The sequence below is a fragment of the Homo sapiens genome, chromosome 12 (genome assembly GCF_000001405.40).
Source record: "Homo sapiens chromosome 12, GRCh38.p14 Primary Assembly".
Classification (NCBI taxonomy): Eukaryota; Metazoa; Chordata; class Mammalia; order Primates; family Hominidae; genus Homo; species Homo sapiens.
This window is the reverse complement of record NC_000012.12, coordinates 112,272,934-112,299,661: the sequence shown is the minus strand read 5'-3', so window position 1 is coordinate 112,299,661 and position 26,728 is coordinate 112,272,934. Positions and strand designations below refer to the sequence as shown.

At 41.5% G+C, this 26,728-nt stretch overlaps 1 protein-coding gene across 2 annotated transcripts in view; it reads left to right on the top strand.

The window, feature by feature from the left end:
- The window catches only part of HECTD4 (HECT domain E3 ubiquitin protein ligase 4), a 222,237-nt gene that overhangs the window by 82,770 nt on the left and 112,739 nt on the right, over positions 1–26,728 (top strand). For both annotated transcript variants that reach the window (NM_001388303.1, NM_001109662.4), the window contains exons 8-11: positions 16,360–16,552; positions 20,276–20,434; positions 24,702–24,815; positions 25,867–26,007. In NM_001388303.1, coding sequence (NP_001375232.1) covers positions 16,360–16,552; positions 20,276–20,434; positions 24,702–24,815; positions 25,867–26,007 — 607 coding nt within the window. The remainder of the gene's footprint in view (positions 1–16,359; positions 16,553–20,275; positions 20,435–24,701; positions 24,816–25,866; positions 26,008–26,728) is intronic.

The window sequence follows — 26,728 nt, the reverse complement described above, 5'->3', positions numbered from 1 at the left end:
TACTTTGTTTGTTTGTTTGTTTGTTTGTTTGTTTGTTTTTTGAGACAGAGTCTGTCTGTCACCCAGCCTGGAGTGCAGTGGCTAGATCTCGGCTCACTGCAGCCTCAGACTCCTGGGCTCAAGTGAACCTCCCACCTCAGCCTCCCAAGTAGCTGGGACTACAGGCACGTGCCACCATGCCTGGCTAATTTTGGTATCTTTTGTAGAGACGGGGGTGGGAGGTTTCTCCATGTTGTCCAGGCTGGTCTTGAACTCTGGGCTCATTGGATCCTCCTGCCTCAGTCTCCCAAAGTGTTGGGATTACAGATGTGAGGTCCCCACATCTGAACTCAGTCTAATTTTTAAGTATGGTGGTGAAATACATAAGAAAATGTCCGTATTTTTAAAGATGCTTAGTGAAGTATTCAGAATATTCAGAAATGGAATTGCGTGATGTCTGGGATTCACCTTAAAATAGTTGAGCAAAAAAGAAAAAATAGGAGGCTAGGTTAAACAGGTGTGGCAATAGTTGAATCTGAATCATGGGTACATGGAGGCTCATTGTACTATTCTCTTTTTTGCATATGTTTGAAATTTTTCATCATTGAAAAACTTTTTAAGTGTCACTCAGCCACTAATTTAGCAACTTTCCTTAAACGCTAACTTGGGAAGCTAAACATAGATATCTGGCTTACTGCCTATGGTACTTTCACAGAATGGAACACTGTGAAATATATACGGCAGCTGGGCATGGTAGCTCATGCCTGTAACCCCAGCACTTTGTGTTTTTTTTTTTTTTTTGAGATGGAGTCTCACTCTGTCACCCAGGCTGGAGTGCAGTGGTGTGATCTCGGCTGACTGCAACCTATACCTCCCAGGTTCAAGTGATTCTCCCGCCTCAGCCTCCTGAGTAGCTGGGATTACAGGCGCCCGCCACCACACTGGCTAATTTTTGTATTTTTAGTAGAGACAGAGTTTCACCGTGTTGGCCAGGCTGGTCTTGATCTCCTGACCTCAGGTGATCCACCGGGCTTGACCTCCCAAAGTGCTGGGATTACAGGAGTAACCCACCATGCCTGGCCAATCCAAGCACTTTGGGAGGCTTGAGGCAGGAGGTTCGCTTGAGTCTGGAATTTTCAGACCAGCCTGGGCAACATGCAACATAGTGAGACCCTATCTCTACCAAAAAAAAAAAAAAAAAATTAATATAATTTTTTAAAAATTAAAAAAGTACGAGGCAGATCTACCTAGAATGAAGTAGATTAATTTCCATGTTTAGTACAGAAAGCTAAGCTCAGAACACTGTGTGTATTCACTACCTGCTGTGTAATAAAAGGGGCTAGGGGACAGAATTTTTCTGCAATTGTCTTTCTTCTGTGTTAACAACTTTTCCTCTCTCAGTTCATTGTCCACCACAGCATACAGATACGTTAGAGTATATCCCATCTTGAAAAAACAAAACCAACTCTCCTGATTCGTGCCCACCTCAAGGCACTCTATTTTTTTGGCTCCCTATTATAGTGAAACTCTTGACGGCATTTATTTTCATTGTCTTTGCCTCCTCTCCTTCCATTTTCTCTTGAACCCATTGCTCTTGATGTATCCTCATCATGCCACTAAACAGTTCTTCCGAAGTTCACCAGTGGCTCCCACATTGCTGAATTCAGTGGTCCACTATTATTTGACATGGTTGATCACTTTGGCTGTGGACACCCCATGATACTTCTACTTGCTGATTGTTCCTGCTGAGTCTTATCTGTAGGACCTCTTCTCTCTGCTGTGTCTGCTTCTGTCAACTGTCTTAACTTCTTAGTTGATCTCCTCTTGTTTTGTGGCCTCAAACACCTGTATATGTTGATGATGCTCAAATTTTCTTCTCAGCCAAAACCTGTTACCAAAACTCTAGGTGCATATTGATGTGGCTGTTTGCTTGTATGTGCACAGAATATTAGACTTCTCCAGTTGGAAATCTGATGGTCACCTCAAGCTAAATATGCCCCCAGCTAAACTCCTGAGGTTAGCTCAGATTTGCTCCTTCCAAAATCTTTACCATTTCAGATAATGGCATCTGTGTCTTTCCAGTGCTGGCCAGAGACCTTTGGTGTCACTCTGGACTCTGCCTTCTCCCCCTACCCCTGCCAAATTCCATATCTAGTCAGCAAATACTGTCTGCTCTATCTTCAAAATGTATCCCATCCCATTACTTCTATAGAGGTGCTGAATGATTGGGTCCCCACTGCACCTACACCCTCTGTACTGCCATCCACTGCACCTACAACCTGTTGCACCTATACCTTCTGCACCTACATCCACTGAACTTACACCTTCTGCACTTACCACTTGCTGCATTTACACCCTCTGCACCTACATCCACTGCACCTACACCCTCTGCACCTACATTCACTGCACCTACACCTTCTGCACTTACCACTTGCTGCACTTACATCCTCTGCACCTACATCCACTGCATCTACACCCTCTGCACCTACATTCACTGCACCTACACCCTCTGCACCTACACCTTCTGCATCTACATCCACTGTACCTACACCCTCTGCACCTACATCCACAGCACCTACACCCTCTGCACCTACATCCATACACCTACACCATCTACACCTACACCATCTGCACCTATATCCACTGCACCTACACCTTCTGCACCTGCATCCTCTGCACCTACACCATCTGCACCTACATCCACTGCACCTATACCCTCTGCACCTACACAATCTGCACCTAGATCCACTGCACCTACACCCTCTGCACCTACACCATCTGCACCTACATCCACTGCACCTCCACCTTCTGCACCTACACCATCTGCACCTACATCCACTGCACCTCCACCTTCTGCACCTACATCCACTGCACCTACACCCTCTGCACCTACACCATCTGCACCTACACCATCTGCACCTACATCCACTGCATCTATACCCTCTGCACCTACACCATCTGCACCTAGATCCACTGCACCTACACCCTCTGTAGTTACCACTTGCTGCACCTACACCCTCTGCACCTACATCCACTGTACTCACACCCTTTGCACCTACATCCAATGCACCTACTTCCTCTGCACCTACACCATCTGCACCTACATCCACTGTACTTACACCCTTTGCACCTACGTCCAATGCACCTACATCCACTGCACCTACACCCTCTGCACCTATATCTACTGCACCTACACCTTGTGTGCCTACATCCTCTGCACCTACACCATCTGCATCTACATCCACTGCACCTACACCCTCTGCACCTACATCCTCTGCACCCACATCCACTCCACCTACACCTTCTGTACTTACCACTTGCTGCGCCTATACCCTCTGCACCCACATCCACTGCACCTACACCCTCTGCACCCACATCCACTGCACCTACATCCACTGCACCTACACCCTCTGTACCTACATCCACTGCATCTACACGCTCTGCACCTACCACTGTCTGCACCTACCACTGTCTGCACCTACATCCACTGAACCTACATCCACTGCACCTACACCCTGTGCACCTACCACCTGCTGCACCTACACCCTCTGCACCTACCATACCTTCTTGTTCATGCCACTTAGCCATGCTTCCTCCATGTTACTCACACACACCAAGTATGTTCCCCCTCTGTCCCTTGTGCTGGAATATTGGACTGTAGATAACCACATGGCTGCTTCTCTCACTTTTTAAATGTCTCTGCTCAAATATCACCTTATCAGGCCAGGCACAGTGGCTCACACCTGTAATCCCAGCACTTTGGGAGGCCAAGGTGGGAGGATAGCTTAAGGCCAAGGATTTGAGACCAGCCTGGGCAACAGAGTGAGACCACATCACTATGTGTGTGTGTGTGTGTGTATATATATATATATTTTTTTTTTAATTTAATGGTGCATGTCCGTAGTCCCAGCTATTTGGAGGGCTAAGGTGGGAGGATTGCTTGAGCCCAGGAGTTTAAGGCTGCAGAGAAGTACAATCACACCACTGCACTGCAGCCTGGGCAGCGGAGTGAGACAGACCCTGTCTCAAAAAAAGAAAAAAAGGGCCAGGTACAGTGGCTCATGCCTGTAATCCCAGCACTTTGGGAGGCTGAAGCAGGAGGATCACTTGAAGCCAGGAGTTCAAGATGAGCCTGGGCAACAAAGTGAGGCCCTGTCTCTACTAAAAAAAAAAAAAAAAAATTAATATTAGCCAGTTGCTGAGGTAGAAGGATCACTTCAGTCCAGGAGTCCAAGGCTGTAGTGAGCTAGGATTGCACCACTGCATTCCAGCCTGGGTGACAGAGTAAGACCCTGTCTCTTAAAAAAAAAAAAAATCACCTTACCAGAAAGACTTTTCTATATGAAATATTTTATATAAAACAAAAGACCATTCTATATGAAATATTTTGTATAAAATAAAATCCTGTTCCTCCCTATCCTCTTTGCCCTGCTTTAGTTTTCTTCTTACTGCTCATTTATTTGCTTATTTATTGACCGTCTCCCCTGCTTAGAATGTCAGCTCCAGCAGGGAAGGGATTTTTGTTTCTCTCTCTTTTTTTTTTTCAGACGGGATTTCGCTATGTTGCCTCGGCTAGCCTCGAACTCCTGGACTCAAGTAGTCCGGCCTGCCTTGTCTTCCCAAAGTGCTGTGGTTGTAGATATGAGCCACTGCGCCCTCCGGTGCTAGAATAGTACCCGGCACACAGTAGAAGCTTATTAAATATTTGCTAAATGAATGAATTAATTAATTAATTAAACATCACAAGAGACTGGAAGTATTGGTTTCCCCGGGGAAGGCAACTGGTTGGGGCAAGACTTACTTTCCACCATTGATCTTTTCATATGTTTTTAAAGTTTAACAATGGGCTTTTTAGAAAAATTAACTTTTAAAAAAGGAATTTTTTTATAAAAAGGAGAACTTGTTTAATAGCATTGAATTCTGCTGGAGAAGTCAAGGTCAGACTGAAAGAGGCCTTTTGAATGTATAATATGGAGGCCGTTGCAGCGCTAACAAGAGCTGTTTTGAGGAATAATAGGAGTGGCAGCCAGATGGAGTTGGTTGAGGGTAAGGTAGGGAGGATAAGATGGAAAAGAATAGATCTTTCTCTCCAGGGGTTTGATGTGAAAACAGGAGAGAAATCGGAGGGGGATGATGGAATGGACTGTGGGGACATGGAAATATTTTAATTTCATTTTTTAAAATTTAAGTTATTGAATAGATTTTAAAAAGTACCTGTTTCTAAATTCACAAATGATAGGGCTTAGCCATAGACCTCCTATGATTTGCTGGGCCAAACCAGGCAAAAAACTTTATGAAATAATGCTTTAGATGAAATGATTCATAGAGTTCTAGCCCTGAAATTCTCTACTGAGTTATGATTAATCTTGCTTTCTAAATAATGTAGATACTTGTCACATAGATGTGGCCAATAATAATTACTGGAAGGAATTAGATTTGCTGGTAATTATGATTTCACTCCAATACTTAGGAGTATTGATAAGTGCTCACTTCAGCAGCACAGACATCAAAATTGGAATGATACAGAAAAAATTAGCATGGCCTGTAAGAAAAGAAAAAAGAAGACCAGTCTGAGCAATAAAGTGAGACCTCATCTCTCCAAAAAATAAAAAAAAATTAGCCAGGTGTGGTGGTGCATGACTGTAGTCCCAGCTACTTAGGGGGCTCAGGCAGGGGGATTGCTTGAGCCCAGAAGGTCAAGGCTGTAGTGAGCTATGATTGTGCCACTGCACTCCAGCCTGGGTGACAGAGTGAGACCTTGCCTCCCCGCCCACAAAAAAAGAAAGAAAACTAAGTATTGATAACTTTCTCTTCAAGCTTAGTAATAGCTATGTTGTTTTAATTAAAAATATTTTTAACATGATATTCACATAGTTATACAACTCAGAAGGTACAGAAGTCTCTCACCTACCCTGCTTCCTAGCCCAGTTTCCCTCCTCAGAGGCAAGTGAGGTTAGCATTTTCTTCTACATCCTTCCACGGACGGAGCACATACAAACAAGTGCATGTGTTTGTGTTGTTTTTCCTTTTCTGTTTTGTACACAAATGGTGATTTATTATACACATTCTTCTGTACCTTGCTCTATTATTGAAGTAAAATTCTACTTTAAAGCAAGATTGATTGATTGATTGATTGATTTTGAGATGGAATCTTTTTCTGTCGCCCAGGCTGGAGTACAGTGGCACGATCTCGGCTCACTGCAACCTCTGTCTCCCAGGTTCAATAAATCCTCCTGCCTCAGCCTCCCGAGTGGCTGAGATTACAGGCGCAAGCCACCACCACCATGCCCAGCTAATTTTTTTTTTTTTTTTTTTTTTGAGACAGAGTCTTGCTCTGTTGCCCAGGCTGGAGTGCAATGGTGCGATCTCGGCTCACCGCAACCTCCGCCTCCCATGTTCAAGCGATTCTCCTGCCTCAGCCTCCTGAGTAGCTGGGATTACAGGCACCACCACCACACCCAGCTAATTTTTGTATTTTTAGTAGAGACGGGGTTTCACCATGTTGGTCAGGCTGGTCTCGAACTCCTGACCTCAAGTGATCCACCCGCCTCGGCCTCCCAAACTGCTGAGATTATAGGCGTGAGCCACTGCATCTGGCCCTCATTCGATATTTGAATCCCCTCAATAACATCCCTCATGAAATATTTTTTTACTTATTTTTTACATGGAGTCTCTCATTGCTGCCCAGGCTGGAGTGCAATGGTGTGATCTCAGCTCACTGCAACCTCCGCCTCCTGGGTTCAAGCAATTCTCCTGCCTCAGCCTCCCTAGTAGCTGAGATTACAGGTGCCCGCCACCACCCCTGGCTAAATTTTTGTATTTTTAGTAGGGACGGGGTTTCACTATGTTGCCCAGGATGGTCTCAAACTCCTGACCTTGTGATCTGTCCACCTCGGTCTCCCAAAGTGCTGGGATTACAGGCATGAGCCACCGCACCTGGCCGAAAGATTTTTTTCCCGGTATTTTTATTTTGTGGCATGCTTGTGATCCTAATCCACTGTATACAAATGGAAGCTTCTCATCCAGCCTTACTGATGTAAGTGCTGGGCACTTCATGCAGTAGCCTCAAGTTTAGATAGCTATGTCTTCACATATTCATTCATCTCCTACATTACAAAGGGCCTTCTACATGCCAGGTAGTATCCTAGGAGCTGGTGATACAGTATAGAAAAGACAGTGAGATCTCTGTCCTCATGGAGCTTACATTCTTGTGGAGGAGACAGAAGCACAGTTTCAAGCATTGGTAAATATTATAAAGGAAGATGAAGTAAAGCAATAGAGAAATGATTTAGTGTGTGTTTGGTGTGGGACTATTCTAGGTAATGATCAGGGGAGCCTCTCTGAGGAGGTGGTATTTACATTGACACCTGAATAAAATAAAGGAATGAGACATGTAAAGATCTGGCAGAAGAGCATTACAGACAGGAAATGGCATATGCAGATGCCCCTGAGATAGGCATGAGGTTGGCTTGTTGAGGAAGAACAACAAGAAGTCTGTGTGTCTCAAGTGGAGTGATGAGAGTGAGTAATGGGAGATGAAGTTGGAGACGTAGCCAGGGCCATATCTTATAGGGCCTTGCAAGGTATTGGGATTTTATTCTAAGTGAGATGGGAGACTCCTGGAAATTGTTGAGCAGGAAAGTGATGGGATCGTGTTTTAAAGGTTCATTGTAGGTTTGGGGTAAAGAATAAAGCCAGAAGAGACTTAAAGAGACAAACCAAATGTATATAATGTGTAGGTTGCATCTTGTTTGGTTCCTGAATCAAACAAACCAATTGCCAACTGTAAAAAGTATTTTTTTTCTTTTTCTGAGATGGAGACTCACTCTGTCACCCAGGCTGGAGTGCAGTGGCGCAATCTTGGCTCACTGCAAGCTCCGCCTCCCCGGTTCACGCCATTCTCCTGCCTCAGCCTCCCGAGTAGCTGGGACTAGAGGGGCCCACCACCACGCCTGGCTGATTTTTTGTATTTTTAGTAGAGACGGGGTTTCACCATGTTAGCCAGGATGGTCTCAATCTCCTGACCTCATGATCCGCCCGCCTCGGCCTCCCAAAGTGCTGGGATTACAAATGTGAGCCACTGCGCCTGGCTCTTTTTTCTTTTTTTTTAAAGATGGGGGGGTCTCACTATGTTGCCCAGGTTGGCCTTGAACTCCTGGGCTCAAGTGACCCTCCCACCTCAGCCTCCCAAAGTGCTAGGATTATAGACTTGAGCCACTGCACCTGGCCTGTAAAAAGTATTTTTGAGAAAATTGGGGAAATTGAATTATGGACTCAATATTAGATGATGTCAAGAATTATTGCTAATAATAAGTGTGATTACATTGTAGTTATTAAAGAATATCTATATTTTATAGTGATATACACTGAAATATGTGGGGGTGAAATGACATAATGACTGGGAGAGATGAAGCAAATATGTCAAAATCTTGATAACTTGTATCTAGAGTGATAGTAAGCGGATATTACTAGTTCTTTTTGTGTATATTTTAGTATTAAGAAAAATTTTGTAAAGAAACATTTTTTACATGTTTCTTTTTGTGTATATTTTAGTATTAAGAAAAATTTTGTAAAGAAACATTTTTTAAAAGAATGCACCTTGTGAGAAGGGGGCAGGAATGGGATTAGTAGGAAGTTGTTGCCACAGACCAGGTGAAAGATAATTAATGTGTTGGACTGAGGGTGAAGTAATGATGGAGGTGGTAAAAAAGTGAGCAGAATCGGGATATATTCTTTTAAAAATTGGTGACAAATCCTTTTATTGATCCCAGTGGTATCATGCAGCATCCAAAACTATCTGTGATTTGTTTTTTTTTTTTGTTTTGTTTTTTTTTGAGACGGAGTTTCGCTCTTGTTGCTCAGGCTGGAGTGCAATGGTGTGATCTCAGCTCACCGCAACCTCCTCCTCCCAGGTTCAAGTGATTCCCCTGCCTCAGCCTCCCGAGTAGCTGGGACTACAGGCATACACCACCATGCCCAGCTAATTTTTGTATTTTTAGTAGAGACAGGGTTTCTCCATTTTGGTCAGGCTGGTCTCAAACTTCCGACCTCAGGTGATCTGCCTTCCTCGGCCTCCCAAAGTGTTGTGATTACAGGCGTGAGCCACCACATCCGGCCTGATTTCTTCATTATATTTTATTTATTATTATTATTTTTTGAGACAGGGTGTTGCTCTTTTGCCCACGCTGGAGTGGAATGGTGTGATCACAGTTCACTGCAGCCTAGAACCTTGCAGGCTCAAGCGATCTTCTCACGTCTGCCTCCCTCACAGCTGGGACCACAGGCGCCCGCCACCATGCCCAGCTAATTTAAAAAATTATTTTCTAGAGCCTATGATTGATTGATTGATTGATTATTTTTTTTGAGACTAGCTCTCACTTTATCACTCAGGCTGGAGTGCAGTGGTATGATCACGGCTTACTGTAGCCTCAACCTCCCGGGCTCAAGTGATCCTCTCACCTAGCCTCCCAAGTAGCTGGGACCACAGGCACACACCACCTTGCTGGGCTAATTTTGGTATGTTTTGTATAGATGGGGTTTCACCATGTTGCCCAGGTTGGTCTCAAACTCCTGAGCTCAAGCAATCTACCAGCCTCGGCCTCTCAAAGTGCTGGGATTAAAGACATGAGCCACTGTGCCTGGCCTGACTTCTTTAAATGCTAGAACTTAAAACATTAACTGATTATCCCTTTAAAAAGAAAGAATAGGCCGAGTGCGGTGGCTCATGCCTGTAATCCCAGCACTTTGGGAGGCCGAAGCGGGAGGATTACCTGAGGTCAGGAGTTGGAGACCAGCCTGGCCAACATGGTGAAACCCTGTCTCTACTAAAAATACAAAAATTAGCTGGGCGTGGTGGTACACACCTGTAATCCCAGATACTCGGGAGGTTGAGGGAGGAGAATTGCTTGAGCCCGGGAGATAGAGGTTGCAGTGAGCTGAGATCATGCCACTGCACTCCAGCCTGGCTGACAGAGTGAGACTGTCTCAAAAAAACAAACAAACAAACAAAGAATAATGGTAGCTTTTCTTATTTATAGTTTTCTTTCTTCCCCCCAGATTTCCAAGAGTAACCATATATTAGTTTTATCATTAGAAAAAAAAACCTAAACATTAAAAAAATTCTTGGAACACCATCTGTATTCCTCCATTATGTCATTTTTCATAAAACAGTCAGCTCAGCTTGATTATACCAAATAGATCTCTTGGTACCTAAGACTCAGGGAAAACTAATGGATTGAAACGACTAAGATCAGAGAGCAGAATCTAACTAGCCATGCTTACCTCTCAAAATGATACCTTGTTAACTAAGCATGGAATTAGATAACTAGTTGTTATAAAAGGCAGACTATAGAAATATATTTAGGCCAGCCTGGGCAACATAGTGAGACCCCATTTCTACAAAAAAATTTTTTTTAATTAGCTGGGTGTGGTGGTTCACACCTGTAGTCTCAGCTAGTAAGTAGCATGAGGTGGGAGGATCGCTTGAGCCCTGAAGGTCAAGGCTGCAGTGAGCCATGATCGTGCCACTGCACTCCAGCTTGGGTGATACACCAAGACCCTGTCTCAAAAAGAAAAGAAAAAGAAGAGAGGAGAAGAGATATATTTAGGAATATGATGTAACAAAATGGAATGTCGAGATTATCCTGCTTAACTAACAAACTATTATTAATATAAAATGACCTCTAACATTTGGATCATAGAATTTCTCTGACTTTTAAGGTATTTCAGTTATTTACTTTTACTCAGTGAACAATCCCCAAGCTAAGTAACTTCAGGTAACAATGATGTATAGGTTGATGGGGCTCAGCTGGGTGGTTCTTCTGCTCTGCATGGTGAAGCTGAAGTCACATCTGCAGCTTCATTCAACTGGGAGCTTAGCTTGGGCTGTGCCACTGAAGATGGCCTGTCATCCTCTAGGGCCTCTCTCCACTTGGCATCCATTATTCAGTAATGTATGCTGAAGCTCGACATCATGGAAGCTGGTTTTCAGGAAGGAGCTTTTCAAGAGGACAAGTGGATATCAAGTCTCTGCTTGCATCATGCTTTCTTTTTTTGAGACATTGTGTTGCTCTATGGCCCAGGCTGGAGTGTAGTGGTGCTACTATCTCTGCTCACTCACTGCAAACTCCCCACTCTGGGCTCAAGCATTCCTCCCACCTCAGCCTCCTGAGTAGCTGGGACTACAGGCTCATGCCACCATGCCTGGCTAATTTTTATATTTTTTTTATAGACTGAGTTTTGCCATGTTGCCCAGGCTGATCTTGAACTCTTAGGCTCAAGCAATCGCTAGCCTCAACCTCCCAAAGTGCTGGGATTACAGGCATGAGCCACTGCCCCTTGCTGCATCTTTTTTTTTTTTTTTTTGAGACAGAGTCTTGCTCTGTCACCTAGGCTGGAGTGCAGAGGTGTGATCTCCGCTCACTGCAACCTCTGCCTCCTGGGTTCAAGCGGTTCTCCTGCCTCAGTAACTGGAATTACAGGTGCATACCACCACACCTAGCTAATTTTGTATTTTTAGTAGAGATGGGGTTTAACCACGTTGGCCAGGCTGGTCTCGAACTCCTGGCCTCAAGTGATCCACCTGCTTCAGCCTCCCAAAGTGCTGGGATTACAGGCATGAGCCACCGTGCCTGGCCAGCAACTTGCTTTCTAATGTAGAAAAAAAAAAAAAAGTCATCTGACCAGGTCCAGACTTGGACGGGGACTATACAAGGGCATGAATACAAGGATGCATCATTCATTAGGGGCCACCAATGTGACAGTCTACCCACATGGAGCAACAGGCCTTCTGAAACTCTAGAACACAATTCTGGTCTTTAAGACTACAAAATAGCTGAAGCATGTAATCTTTCTGCCTGATTTGGCTACTTCTACTCTGGACACATTCCTGCTTGAGAATCTTCTATAACTCTTTTTTTCTTTTTTTTAGAGAGTGGGGTCTCACTGTGGTCTCTAACTCCTGGGCTCAAGCTGTTCTCCTGCCTCTGCCTCTACCTACTGGGATTACAGGCGTAATCCAGCTGGGAGCCACTGCACCCAGCCTATAACTCTTTTTTACCTTTTCAAGCCTCTTTTGAAAAAATATCCTCACTTCTGTTTTGTTCTGAGAGGTCTTCTGCCCCCATGTGCTCTATATAAACTGCAGTTTTAAAATTTTATTAGTGACAATTTTATTGCTATTTTTCTCTCCTTATGTTACTTCCTAAAGGTATTGTCAATGTAGTAATGGACACACTAAGAGTCTTCCCCTCTTCTCCCTAAGGGTTTGTTGTTTCCTTCCAGTTATGATCCAGATGACTAAGCTACCCTTCCTTCATTCTGTATTAATTGAGAGCCTATACTATATTGCCGTATCTGGGTAGCCCAGTAAATAAGCTTTTGTTTTCGTGGAGCTTATATTAGAGTATGGGAAGTGGGACAATACGGAAGCAAACAATAAGAACAAAATAATTTCAGCTAGTGATAAATGCTGGGGAGAAAATTAAACAGGATAATGTGAGAGGGAGTGCATGGGGTGGAGATGGGGAGCTCCTTTAGCTTGCGGGGCACATAAGGCCTTTCTAAGGAAAGACATTTGAGCTGAGACCTGAATGATAAGAAGCCATCCATCCTGACAGACAGGGTGACCAACTATCCCAGTTTGCTTGAGACTGAGGGATTGATTGCTCATGACATGGAACTTTCGGTGCTAAAACCTGCAGTTCCAGGCAAACTGCAACGGATGGGTAGCACAAGAGGGAATAGCAAGTACCAAGGCCCAGCATTAGGAGGAAGCATGGTATTTTGGAGGTGTGACAGAAGGCGAGTGTAGCTAAAAATGTAGTGAGAGAGGGTTGAGTTGAGGCAGATGATGCTGAGGAGGTCAGCAGACATTGGCCCTTGTGAGGCCCTGTCAGTAATTTGGATTTTATCATAAGTGTGTTGGAAAACCACTGCAGGGTTTTAAATGAGGGAAGACATGGTTTTACCTTTTTTTTTGGTGGGGCGGGGTGGGACAGGATCTCCCTCTGTTGCCCAGGCTGGAGTGCAGTGGTGCAATCATGGTTCACTGCAGCCTTCCCTTCCTGGGCTCTTTCAATCCTCCCGCCTCAGTCTCCCTTGTAGCAGGGACTACAGGCGTGTGCCACTGCCCTTGGATAATTTTGTGTGTGTATGTGTGTGTGTGTGTTTGAGACAGGTTGGTCTCAAACTATGTTGCCCAGGCTGGTCTCGAACTCCTGGGCTCAAGTGATCTTCCCTTCTTGGCCTCCCAAAGTGCTGGGATTACAGGTGTGAACCACTGTGCCTGGCTTTATTTACATTTTTAAATGATCACTGGCTATGCAGAGAGTAAACCATTGGGGTGCCTGTGGAAGTGGGAAGACAGGTTGGGAGGCTGGTCTAATAATCTCTCTTGAGATGATGTGGACTTGGACCAGAGTGGTTGCCAGGAAGGAAGCCTGGGCTGCTTCTCACTCCTCCCAGCTCTTCCTGTCTTCCTAAATCAGCAGCTTCTTACCCTGAAGAGCGCCTTTGCTAAAGTAGGGATTTCCAGCAGATTTACCATTTTGCAGCAAACTTCAGCCCTACTTGTATCACACAGGTGTTTTATCAGTTTTTCTTTGCAGTATTTTCAAAGTACTCAAATACAATAATATAGTGTTTTGTTTGTTTTTAAGGTATCTATTGATTTTCTCATAGGGCCAGATTGGGTAATGCTTTTGAATGCCAAGCTTAAAGTGATTGATTTTTATCTTGGATGCTTTTGAAGGAGTATATTTAGAATTGTGCAATGTAAATAGAGCTATGCTTGCTAAAAGTTAATCTAGTAGGAGAGTTGGGGTAAGACAATGAAGTAAGAGGTGGATGTGTTGAATTTTAGGTGACAGGAGGCTGTTCAAGTAGAAATGTCGGTGGGGAGGGTGAGGGGCAGTTAGAAAAGTGGAACTAGATCGTAGTAGCAAGGATGGGTCTGTAAATAGAAATGTGGGAGTTGCCATAGAGAAGCGGAGTTGGATTTGGGGGAGGGCCCTGATCTGTTTATTCAGCAAGCAATCGAGTATTCATTGAATGCCTCCTAAGTGCTGGGGATGTTATGGCAAACAAGGCAGGTGGATCCCTGTTCTCAGGGAGTTGGCATTCATTGGGACGTGTTAAGGTAGAAGGGCAAAGAATAAATGACTTCATGAGTAAAATAATTTCAGAGAGTAGTACGTGCTGTGTAGATAATGAAACAGCATGATGTGCTCTGGGTTGGGGTGCTGGGGAGGATTCTTTTTTAGATTGGCAACCAGGGCAGACCTCTTTGAGTGGGTAACGTTTAACTAAGACCTGAATGATAGGAAAGAGCCAGTCTCTGGAAGGTCTAGGGATAGAGCATTCCAGGTGGAGGTCTTGGACACCAGGGGTAGGTCTAATCTTGGGAAAGGTCCCATTTAAGCAAATGAAGATGTTGACCAGCAAAGAGAGAGACAGGAAGGAGGGCAGGGACTGTGCTGGCTTCACTCGCCAGCACAGTGAGCACTTTACACAGAGGTAAGTGTTCATGTTAAAAAGAAACAAACCAGGCTGGGCATGGTGGCTCACGCCTGTAATTCCAGCACTTTGAGAGGCTGAGGCAGGCAGATTGCTTGAGCCTAGGAGTTCAGGACCAGCCTGGGCAACATGGCAAAACCCTGTCTCTACAAAAAATATTAATACAAAAATTAGCCAGATGTGGTGGCGCATTCCTGTGGTCCCAGCTACTCGAGAGGCTGGGGTGGGAGGATCATCTGAGCCTGGGGAGATTGAGGGTTCAGTGAGCTGTGATCACACCACTACACTGTAGCCTGAGTGACAGAGCAAGACCCTGTCTCAAAAAAAAGAAACAAAAAGAAACAAACCAGGCTTGTGTTCTGCCACCAACACTAAGGAATCAGAATCCCAAGAAGGATGGCAGTGATGGCGCGACCTGCAAGGAAGTCAAGGAAAAGGTCAGTGGTTTTGGTTTTAGGTCACTGGTGGACCATTGAGATTGCCGACTCATTAGAGTGTGCTGAATTCAGAGACTACCAACTGCAAAGGGTTAAAAAGCAGGGGATGGGGAAATAGAAACAGCATTTTTGGACTCTGTAACAAATCTTTTTCTTTATCATTTGTGAATATGTCATAAAAGACTCCCCCACTACGTACACCCACCTTTGGGAATCTTTCCTGGCTGTGCTCCTGAGTTTACTCACTTTCTCTTGCCCCTTCTGTGTTACCAACCTTTCCCTGTGGACTCCTCTTTTGCTTTCCCTTTGCTTCTGAAGATTTGCCACTTTGCACTCCCATTCCCTCTTATCTCCACACCCCACAGCTGCAGGCCAGTCCTGCCTGTCTTTGCTGGTGGGGACCCAGTTCTTGGATCTAGAAAGGGGCCATGAGAGATTTGACAAAAGGGGTGATATTTTAATGGGCCACCAAGGTTTTGTTTAAGACCTGTGAATATTTGAAAACAAAGAGAAGGAACTCAATAGAGAGGGAGACACTAATGATGAAGAGGCAGAGGGGAGCACAGGACTTGAGGCAGAAGTGGAAGGGTTCATCTTCAATAATATGAGGTGAAATCCTTCTTCCTCTGAATTAAGACAAAGGAAATAGTAAATGAGGCTGGGTCCCAAGATTCTTAAGTTGGAAGAGACGTGAGTAGGAGAAGCTTATAGTAAGTGGTCTGGATCTTTTTAGCAATACAGAAAGCCAGGTGGAAAAAGAAAAAAAAAAAAAAAAAGAAGAAAGAAGAAAACCAGGTGGTCTGCTGAAAGTCAAGCTCAAAATTGGTGAAGGAATTTTGGAGTCACCACTCCAAAGATTTTTCTGGGGAATAACCAAGTGATGAATGAAAGAACTGCAAAGCACCAGCAAAGATCCAGTTGAAGTTGATGTGTATTTTTAGCAAAGTCTGGCTTTGTCCAGGCTTGCTCTGCCAGGGCCTGAGCAGCTGGTGCTAATGTTAACTGCTGTTAATAAAGAGTTTGGATTTTAGCCACTGAAGATATTTCGAGAAGACATTATCCTCATAGTTGTCCTTAACAGTAAATCAAAGACTGATTGATTTGTTTTCCTCTCATTTGACTTCAACCTGTCAGAGGCATGTAATTAGTAAGCGCTGCCTGTGGAATCCAGTGTAAGGAATTTTAATCAACAACTTTTCATAGACCTATTAAACATTATAGCTATTATGAAAAGTGAAAGATCTCAAACTTAGCATAGTCTCTTTTGTTTGTAGTAGTTTCTATAGCACATTTAAGTTTTAAGGTATACATCTACTCAGGAGCAGTTTTTGAAATATTTTTTATTTACTCACAATAATATCCTCAGTAGAAATTTGCTAACTAAATGGAAACAGATATCATTTTAGGACCTCCTTTTTTTCTATGTTAGGTTGAAAATGGTGTATTTGTAGCCAACCCACTTCAGGAACGTACAATTCTAATGAGAAAAGAGGGCGAATCTGCCAAAAGCATTAATGAGATGCTTCTAAGTAGACTTTCTCGGTATAGAGCCTCCCCGTCAGCAACGCTTGCTGCCCTGACTGGTTCCACCATCTCCAACACACTGAAAGAGGATCAAGCAGGTATGTTACTCTGTGCTTCCCAGATCTGTTTCCTTGTATAGCTCTGTTCAGCTACGTCTTATTGAGCACTTCGTCCGTGCTGTACAAAGCCCTTTCCTTTGCATAGTTGACTTTATTTGGTCTTCCAGTCATTGTCCAGCTTTTTATTCCAAGCCAATACATGTTGTAGGCTATGGACACAAATTCATATGAACCTGTAAGAATGCAAAATAGCCCCATGTTAAACTGTAAACACCTTATCATCATCACCATTCATATAAATTAGTTGATTTCATATTTTGCGTATGCTTTGTGAATGAGAAAACCTGATACTTAGCATCATCTTCCCTAAATACAGTCTTGACCAAGCAAATAACAGAAAAGCCTTCTACAGTAGATATTTTGTTTTTTAGAATTTATCATTTAGTTTTTTAATTTAATGTTTTAAAATAGATAATACACGTACAGAATTTGAAAGTCAAAACAATGTAAAAAGGTATATGCAGAGAAGTCTTATTCTTACCATGTTGGTAAATTTTATATTGTGACCCCACCCTACCCCACCACAGGTAACTATATTTATTAGTTTTCATTTATCCTTCCAGTGTTTGTTTATGCAAATATAATTAAAGATAAATTTATATGTTCATAATTTCTGCCTTTTCTTAATAGAAGGTAGTATACTATATACATTGTTCTGCACTTTTTTTTTCGTTGTTGTTGTTTTTTGTTTTTGTTTTTGTTTTTTGAGATGGAGTCTTGCTCTGTCTTCCAGGCTGGAGTGCAGTGGCGCGATCTCAGCTCACTGCAAGCTCCGCCTCCCAGGTTCACGCCATTCTCCTGCCTCAGCCTCCCGAGTAGCTGGGACTACAGGCGCCCGCTACCACGCCTGGCTAATTTTTTGTATTTTTAGTAGAGACGGGGTTTCACCGTGTTAGCCAGGATGGTCTCGATCTCCTGACCTCGTGATCCGCCCACCTTGGCCTCCCAAAGTGCTGGGATTACAGGCGTGAGCCACCGCGCCTGGCTGTTCTGCACTTTTAAAGTAGGAGTTCTTAACCAGGATACACCTTTAAGGGAGTATGTTATTAAACATACTCCCTCAAAGTTTTAGATATCATTTTATATGTATCTGTCATAACTTTCATTAGATTTTCAGAGTCATCTATGACCCCCAAAAACATTAAGAACCATTATTCCATAGAGTTTACAGATTACATACCAAATATTTGGATTTATAGCAAACTATGAACTGCAGTAAAAGATAAAGCTAGAAAAAGATGCCATATGTAGAAAACTGCATCTGAATTAATATGCATTTAATGAATTCAGTGTAATCTTATGCTTTATTTTTATAGTTGGAAATGCTAGGAAGAGAAAATATTTATAGTTAATTTATTATGAGACTACCAAATTAAATACTTATTAGTCCATATTAGAATTTAAGGACAGTATTTTATTTTCACAGGCTTCTTTTGTATCAAAGGTAAGTGGCAAAATTGTTAATAGTTTTTATGATTTGGGTAAGTGGATAATTCCAACTGTAGAAGATACTTTCTAGAGGACAGTTTTTTTTGTTTTTGTTTTTGTTGTTACCTAAATAAACATTTTCATGACAAGCTGAAGGCCTGATCTGGGTTTGTCCCTTGGGAGAAAATGAAATCTTACCCTAAACAATGGAAATACTAAAAGAATGCTTGTTGAAAATATGTATAATATCAAAGAAAGACCTCAGAAGGCAAGGACATATTTAGAATTTGGTAGAAATGTGCACGCTTTGGCAGCACATATACTAGAATTTGGTAGAAACGGGTATCTGTATTCTAAACATGTGGTCTCATTGTACTTTTTTTTTTTAAAAAAAACATGAGGTCTTGTTATGTTGTCCAGGCTGGTCTCAAACTCCTGGGCTTAAGCAATCATCGTACTTTTATGTGGATTCTTTAACGTGATGTTGCTACATTAAATTAAAAATTCACCAGTTATAAACTAAGAAACTTTTCAAAAGTAAGCGAACATTCAAGGTGTCTGTAAGGTTTTGGCCAGGGGCAGTGGCTTATGCCTATAATCCCAGCATTTTGGGAGGCTGAGGTGGGTGGATCACCTGAGGTCAGGAGTTCAAGACCAGCCTGGCCAACATGGTGAAACCCCATCTCTACTGAAAATACAAAAATTAGCCGGGTGTGATGGTGGGCTCCTGTAGTCTCAGCTACTCGGGAGGGGCTGAGGCAGGAGAATTGCTGGAACACAGGAAGTGGAAGTTGCAGTGAGCCGAGATGGCTCCATTGTACTGCAGCCCAGGCAGACAACAGTGAGACTCAGTCTCAAAAAAAAAAAAAAAAAAAAGTTTTTATTCCATTAAAAACTAATACCTATTGCCATCTTAATAAGCATATGTCTATTGAAAACATCTTGGTGAAAATGGTATACTCACAAAGTTGCTAATTTTCCAATTATTGCTGTCTTTAGGTTTCTTACCAGTGGAAATTTATCTTCTTGAATTTATGTCCTTAATGAAGAATATACTTGGTGGGGGCTTGCAGCTTAAAAAAAAAAAAGCTTTTTAGAAGCACAAGCATTCAAAACAAATATCAGATAGATTAGGTTTCACTTTACTCACTCTTCTAATCTAAACCATCTAAAAATGATTTTCATCTATCCAGGCTATAGATAATAAGTTATATTTTATAGCCTGACAGCTTTCTAAGTAAAGCACTCCAGTTGATTCTCTGTTGACATAATCAATCCTCGCTAGGCTTGTATATAGAAAATCCGTAAATTCACTCCACTTTCTAGATATGCCAGTAAGGGAGATTAAAGTACATTTTACACCTCTTGATTAGAAACAATAATTATTTTCCTAATGACAGTTTATGTCATTGACCCTTAAAAAAAAGAAAAATGTATATAAGGGGTTATAATAAATTACACAGCTATAAAATTGTTTTGTGATAGATATTGTGAAAGCTTTCATTAGGTTGAAATTTTGGCCGATTTCATGTTGAAAGCTGTTTATTATGAGTTTAATATCACAAGCCTGTCAAGAATTTGTTCTATATAAAATGGGAAAAAAAAACCAAGATCTTGATTGGAATATAGGTTGTTCATCCCAAATCTAAAAATCTAAAATGCTCCCAAATCTGAAACTTTTTGAGTGCCTACATGATGCTCAAAGGAAATGTTCTCACTAATCTCAGATGTAATGAGTAAAAATAAATGAAAACAAAGGAAATGTTCACTGGAATATTTTGGATTTTGGATTTTTCAATTAGGAATGCTCAACTCTTAAGTATAATCCAAATATTTCAAATTCTGAAAAAATCTGAAATCCAAAACACTTCTGGTCCCAGGCATTTCAGATAAATGTACTCAACCTATATCAGTTTTCTAGGGGAAACACAAACAAATACTAGGATTCTTCTCTTATTTTGAGATTTAGTCCATGTGAGGATTTATTTTTTTGGAATAATTTGTAGAGGCATGATGGCATATTGAGGATTGGGAGCACTGTCAAGAAATGTTCAGACCATATAAATAGGAGGCTCAGGGTCAGGCTGTGGAGCCAGAAGATAATTATTTTTTTCCTTAGCTATTACTTCTTATTCTGTTTTCCTAATCTGGAAATCTGTTTTCCAAATCTTTGTTTGAGTTTGGGTCTCCCTCATTATATCCTAATCTGTGTTGGTAATCAAATTAACTTTTGTGTCAAATATTTTGATTTAGCATTTTCATTCCTTTCTCCAGCAAATACTAGCTGTGGGCTGCCTCTAAAAATGCTGCGGAAGACACCCATATATACCTGTGGCACCTACTTGGTGATGCTGGTGCCTCCTCCAGGGGGATCAGGCAGCTCTGCCACCCGATCTCTTTTTGGTGGAACAAGTGGTTTGTCATCTTTAAAAAGTAAGTGAATTTTACTTGTGGCACTTTCCTCGATTTATCTCAAACTCTGAAATTTAAAGCTTTCCTATTAATTATTTAAAACTTACTTTGTTAAATAGTTGTTTGCAATAGCTCTCTGATAACAAAAAATACCAATTATCAAATAGGCTAGGAAGATTTAACAATATAATTTTTTGTGGATGGCATATTAGTATAGTTTTGAAAACTATTGTCCTATAAAATTAATAGAAATAATCAGTTCAACAAAGTTTTAGGAAATAAAATAATATTTTGTCACATTATTTACTGATGATACAGCAAGAGCTCTACTCACTATGATAGAATTTCTTTTTTTTTAGACGGAGTCTTGCTCTGTCACCCAGGCTGGAGTGCAGTGGCATGATCTCAGCCTACTGCAACTTCTGCCTCCCGGGTTGAAGTGATTCTCCTGCCTCAGCCTCCCTAGTAGCTGAGATTACAGGCACATGCCACCATGCCCGGCTAATTTTTTTATTTTTAGTAGAGATGGCGTTTCGCCATGTTGGCCAGTCTGTTCTGGAATTCCTGGCCTCAGGTGATCCACCCACCTTGGCCTCCCAAAGTGCTGGGATTACAGGCATGAGCCACCACGCCCTGCCAATAGAATTTCAAAGCTATTAAAATACATATGTAAAACACCTCCATTTTAGGACACATATACAAAATACTAAGCATAAGACATAGAAAAGCAAATGTGTAAAAATGTGTTAGTATTTTAAAATATCCATATATTATTATAAGGAGGCACACTGTAGTAATGAAAGCAGTGTAATTTTGGCTTCAGAGTGCACACATAGTTAAATGGGATAAAGTATAGAATTAAATGTTCCTCAGGCTGGGGGCGGTGGCTTTATTGAAATATAACTCACACACCGTAAATTTCACCCCTTTAAAATATACAATTCAGTGGTTTTTAATATGTTCACAGAGTTGTGCAGTCATTACCACTAATCTATCCGTCACCCCAAAAAGAAACCTCATACTCATCAACAGTTGCTCTCCTACTCCCTGACCCCTGGCATCTACCAATCTACTTTCTGTCTCTGTGGAGTTACCTATACTCTACTTTTCATGTAAATGGAATTATACAACATATGGCCTTTTATGACTGCTTTTTCGTTTGTTTGTTTATTTGCTTGATTTTTAATTTTTGGTTTTACTCGATAGTAGCAAAATACCACTTATTATTTTGTCTCATTCTGTGCATATTATGGTGGCTGAGCTACGAATAAAATCAGGAGCTATAAAAGTAGATGCAGACAGACATGTAAAAATCTTGTTTCTTTTAGTAACTATTATCTTGGGGAAATTAATCATTCAAAGCCTCAACTTTCCCATTAAAAAAAATGTGCAGATGATTATACCTACCACATAGGATAGTGTGAGGACACTTGACACATTATGGAGAGTTATATATAAATATAGAATCATTTTTCCCTCGATGTAAATATAGTTGAATATTGTATCAACTGGAGAGCTGTGTGATGTGAGAAGAGATGGAGAGTATTCTCTATTCATGCACAATTCCACCCTCGCTTGAAGATACTCCTTGCTGTAGTGGGCTTGGTCTCCAGGAAGAAAGTACATGGAGTGAGGTTTTCTCCTTAGTGCTTGCAAATGTGCATTTATTATTGGACACCAGTGATCCTAGATCTTTCTCAGTCTTTAGCCATGGGATCACTACGTGGTCACTGAGGCTCAGACAGGTGAAGTGATGTGGTCCAAGTCTCTTGACACCAGACCCAGCTCTTTTTTATTGGTTCCAAGTTGTTTTATCCATCAGTTGCGCATTGCTGGAGAGGCCTTAGGAAACTTACAATCATGGCGGAAGGCAAAGGAGAAGCAGGCGTCTTCACAGGGTGGCAGGATGGAGTGAGTCTGTGACTGCTTTTTAAACTTAACATAATGTTTTCGAGGTTCATCCATATTACAGCATGAATCAGTACTTCATTACTTTTTATGGTTGAATTATATTTCATAGTGTGGATAATATCCCATTTTGTTTATCCATTCATAAGTTGATGGACATTTGAGTTGTTTCTACTTTTTGGCTATTTTGAATAATGCTGTTATGAACATTAGTATGTAAGTTTTGTGTGGATGTTTTTCATACTCTTGGGCACATACGTAGGAGTGGAATCGCTGGGTCATATGGTAACTGTATGTTTACCCTTGGAGGGACTGCTAAACTGTTTCCCAAAGTGGCCATACCATTTTACGTTCTCATCTCCAAAGTATAATGGTTCTATTTTCTCTACATCCTCACCAACATTTGTTATTTTCCATTTTTCTGATTATAGCCATCTTTGTGGATATGAAGTTGTACCTCATTGTGATTTTATGCATTTCCTTAATGACTAATGATGCTTAGCATCTTTTCATGTGCTTATTGGCCATTTGTATACCTTCTTTGGAGGAATATCTATTCCTCCAAAGTCTTTTATCCATTTAAAGATTGGGTTTTTTGGCCAGGCGCAGTGGCTCACGCCTGTAATCCCAGCACTTGGGAGGCTGTGGCGGGCAGATCATGAGGTCAAGAGATCGAGACCATCGTGGCCAACGTGGTGAAACCCCATCTCTACTAAAATACAAAAATTAGCTGGGCGTGGTGGCGCGTGCCTGTAGTCCCAGCTACACAGGAGGCTGAGGCAGGAGAATTGCTTGAACCTGGGAGCTGGAGGTTGCAGTGAGCCTAGATCGCGCCACTGCACTCCAGCCTGGCGACAGAGCGAGATTCTGTCTCTAAATAAATAAATAAAACAAAAATAAAAATTGGGTTTTTATGTTATTGACCATCAGTCTTTTCTTTTTTTCCCCCTCTTTTTTCCTCCTATTACCACATATTATGACCATTAGTCTTATTAAATTGTGTTTAGTCTCCTTGGCATGGCTTTTTTGCTCAGTTGAAATTGACCCCATTTAATTAAAGTGGGTCTTCATGGTACCATTCTTTCATGAGGATATAGCTTACACAGTGATTCTGCTTTAGTGCAACAAATCAGTAAATGCTTAAATTCCTTCTGTGTCCTGTTCCTCTTCGGCTACTGTGGGGGCTGCTCAGAAAGTGGAAGAATTGGTGCTTGCCTTTAACAGCTCTTAGTCTAGTTAGGAGAGATGACGTAGATATGTGAGACAATGAGAAAATGATAGACAATGCTGCATCCCTGCTGGAAGGATCCATGTGGAGCAGATTTGTGAGCTGCACAATCTGAGAAAGAAAGGCTCATTGTGGAGTGGGGTAGAAAGGAGAGACTTCATGAGGTTTTGAGTTTAAGCCATAAAGAACGGATATTATTCATATAAGTGGCCAAGTGGGGAGAAAGCATATGTATGGTTAAGTACCATGAAAAAAGAGATTTGGAGGTCTATTTTCCACTGTCCCATTTTGTTTAATGAAACAGTAGAAAATAGAAAAAAGAGTATCATTTATGTTATAACTTAAGTTAGGCACGATGCGGATCTGGGCTACTAGGGTGATTAAAATATGAAAAAGAAGAAAACTCAAGAGACACAGTGCTAAAGTTTTGTTTGAAAATGGGGAAGAAAATAAAATCAATGATAGCAATTAATACATATATATATATATATATGCTGGTGTGGATCCTTGACATATTTTAACTCATTTATTCTTTAAAATAACTATATAAGGTAGGACTTTTATTATTTCCACTCTAGAAATGAGGAAACTGAAATGTTCAATGACTTTCCCAGGGCCACCCAAAAGTTTTAGAGCTGGAATTCAAACTCTGAAGCCCAAAGTCCATGCTCTTTAATACTGCACTATCCTGTGTTAAGGGAAAAAGCCAGGGTGTGTCCAAGTTGTAGAGCCAGTATTAGGAAAGATTGCAGCTGAGCTGTGTTTGAGTATACACCAAGCTTTATTGAACACTGACTAACTGCCAAGTGTTTCTTGTAAACATTTGCATCTTGTGATATTAGTGATCATAACCCCTCTTGCAGTTACCCTTTTGATAATGTATATCGGAAAGAACCGTCATGCAAAAGTTGCCATTTTAAAAACACTTTGAAAACTATGGTTCGGTATTAAATTTAGGAAAATTTCTGGTGGTGACAGTTTTCTTTCTGTGGTCTTATGCATGTATTCTCCATCTCTTTACCACCAATTACCACCAATACACAACAACAAGAAAAGGGTGTGATTTTTATAAAAGTCTTGTTAAAAGCCTAAAATTTAAACTTTAAAAATAATCTTCAGGCTCATTAAACAGCTTAATGTTTGTTTCCAAAGTCCTAGCCTCCAGCTTGGTGTATAATATTTCGGATGGTCAGTTTACAAGTCGTGCAGATCTCATAGATGCTGCTGGAAGCTCACTGGGGCGTGGTGCTCTCGTACCAGGATTGGGTAAGAAATAAACTTGCACATATCTTTGGAAAATTTCAAGTTTTAGCAAATTTCTCTTGAACTGTCTTGCCAGTTCCCTGTGGCATTCTAGTTTTCTTGAAAAGAAAGACGTTTTTTGTTTTGTTTTGTTTTGTTTTGTTTGAGACAGGGTCTCTTCTGTCACCTAGGCTGGAGTGAAGTGTTACGATCTTGGCTCACTGCAGCCTCTACCTCCTGGGCTCAAGCAGTCCTCCCATCTCAGCCTCCTGAGTAACTGGGACTACAGGAGCACACCACCATGCCCAGCTAATTTTGTTTATTTTTTGTAGAGCCAAGGTCTCACTATGTCACCCAGGCTGGTCTCAAACTCCTAGGCTCAAGCAATCTTCCTGCCTTGGCCTCCCAAAGTGCTGGGATTACAGGCATGAGCCATTGTGTCCAGCCAGAAAGAATTTTTTTATATTAAATTTTAATTTTGGGAATGAGTATAAGACATTGCCATATGTAAAATTCCTCTGAATAAACTGCAATTGAAGATACTATTGATTAGGTTGTGTGATGATGCCTATAAGAAATTCTCAGGTTTATGCCACAAAAAGTTTATTTCCTGTGAGGAATTGGTATACCTGTTATTGTTAGAAAATGAACATTAAGTAATATACTGGACTTTCTCTTTGCCGTGGGTGGTAGGAAGCTTATTTCTAAGTTTTGGGCTCAGTTATTAGGGCTTTTTATTTTGCATTAATGTTAATTGGTCCTATTATACCTGTGTTTTTAATGTAAGCCACTTAAATCCTCTTTGGAAGTAGGTCACAGATAAATCAGTTACTAAGAGCTATCTATTTTGTGAGATTTACTCCTCACACAGGAGTTAAGCAAAATTAAAAATTAAATGCTGGCCTTTGCCGAGTCCCAACCTAGTGCCTTACCAAATAAATCTGTGGGACTAGGGTTGTGGGTTGTCAACATTAGAGAGCATCCTTGCCCTTCCACTTTGTAGCAGTGCTTGTGAGAAATATGTATACAGGTAGCTGGTGGCATGGTGACTGAATACAGTATGCTCTTTTTGCAGGAGCGTGTTATGACACAGTGAACAACATGCTATGGACATGCTCAAATGACTATATCGATCAGTGGTGTAACCCTGGGAATCAAGCCTTCCATTATGTCTGCCAGAGACTTGGAGTCAGTCACATTATCACTGAGCCCAAAGGTGAGGTGCACTCAGGGTCTTGCAGGAAAAGATTTTCCTCTGAAATATGAGAGAATACCACAGCATTAGTAGGTGAAAACATAGCCCAACCCCAGAATGTGTCACCAGTTTTCCCTCTTTGAACTTTTGAAACCTAAAGTCCTTTGTTATCTGTAACCATGAAAGATGAGTTATGATTAAGTAAATAAGTATGTAAATAAATAGAGCTTTTGAGGTGGTCCATAGACTTTTTTAAAGGAAAATTGTTATGTCCTTCCTGAAATTGTTGGAACTTTGTTGCAAAAATTGATTATTTGTATTTGGCATGGGATTATTTGCTGTTGTAATGTTTTGCATTGGTAATGACTTAATTATACACAAACTTAGATAGAATTACCAGTGAAGGACCTTTGTATTTTTCAATATTAATATGAACATTCTTAATACTAAGTTAATATTAAAATCTTTTGGCTTTAAAGTCAACTATGCTAATATGGAGGAATTAATCACTCAGCAAGTCCCCTACCCGTAAAGCAACACTAAAACAGGCAATTATCAAAAACAACCATTTCCAGGCCCTGGAAATTGCCAAGGCATACACTAAATTGAGAGTTGTTATTCATTTTAAAAAACCTTGAACTTTGGGTAAGAACAGTGGAAGTCCATGGTGTTCTTAGCTAGAACTGCTCCTATCCTCCACCTCAGTCTGCATTGAGAGAATTACTATGCTGACCACCTCAAG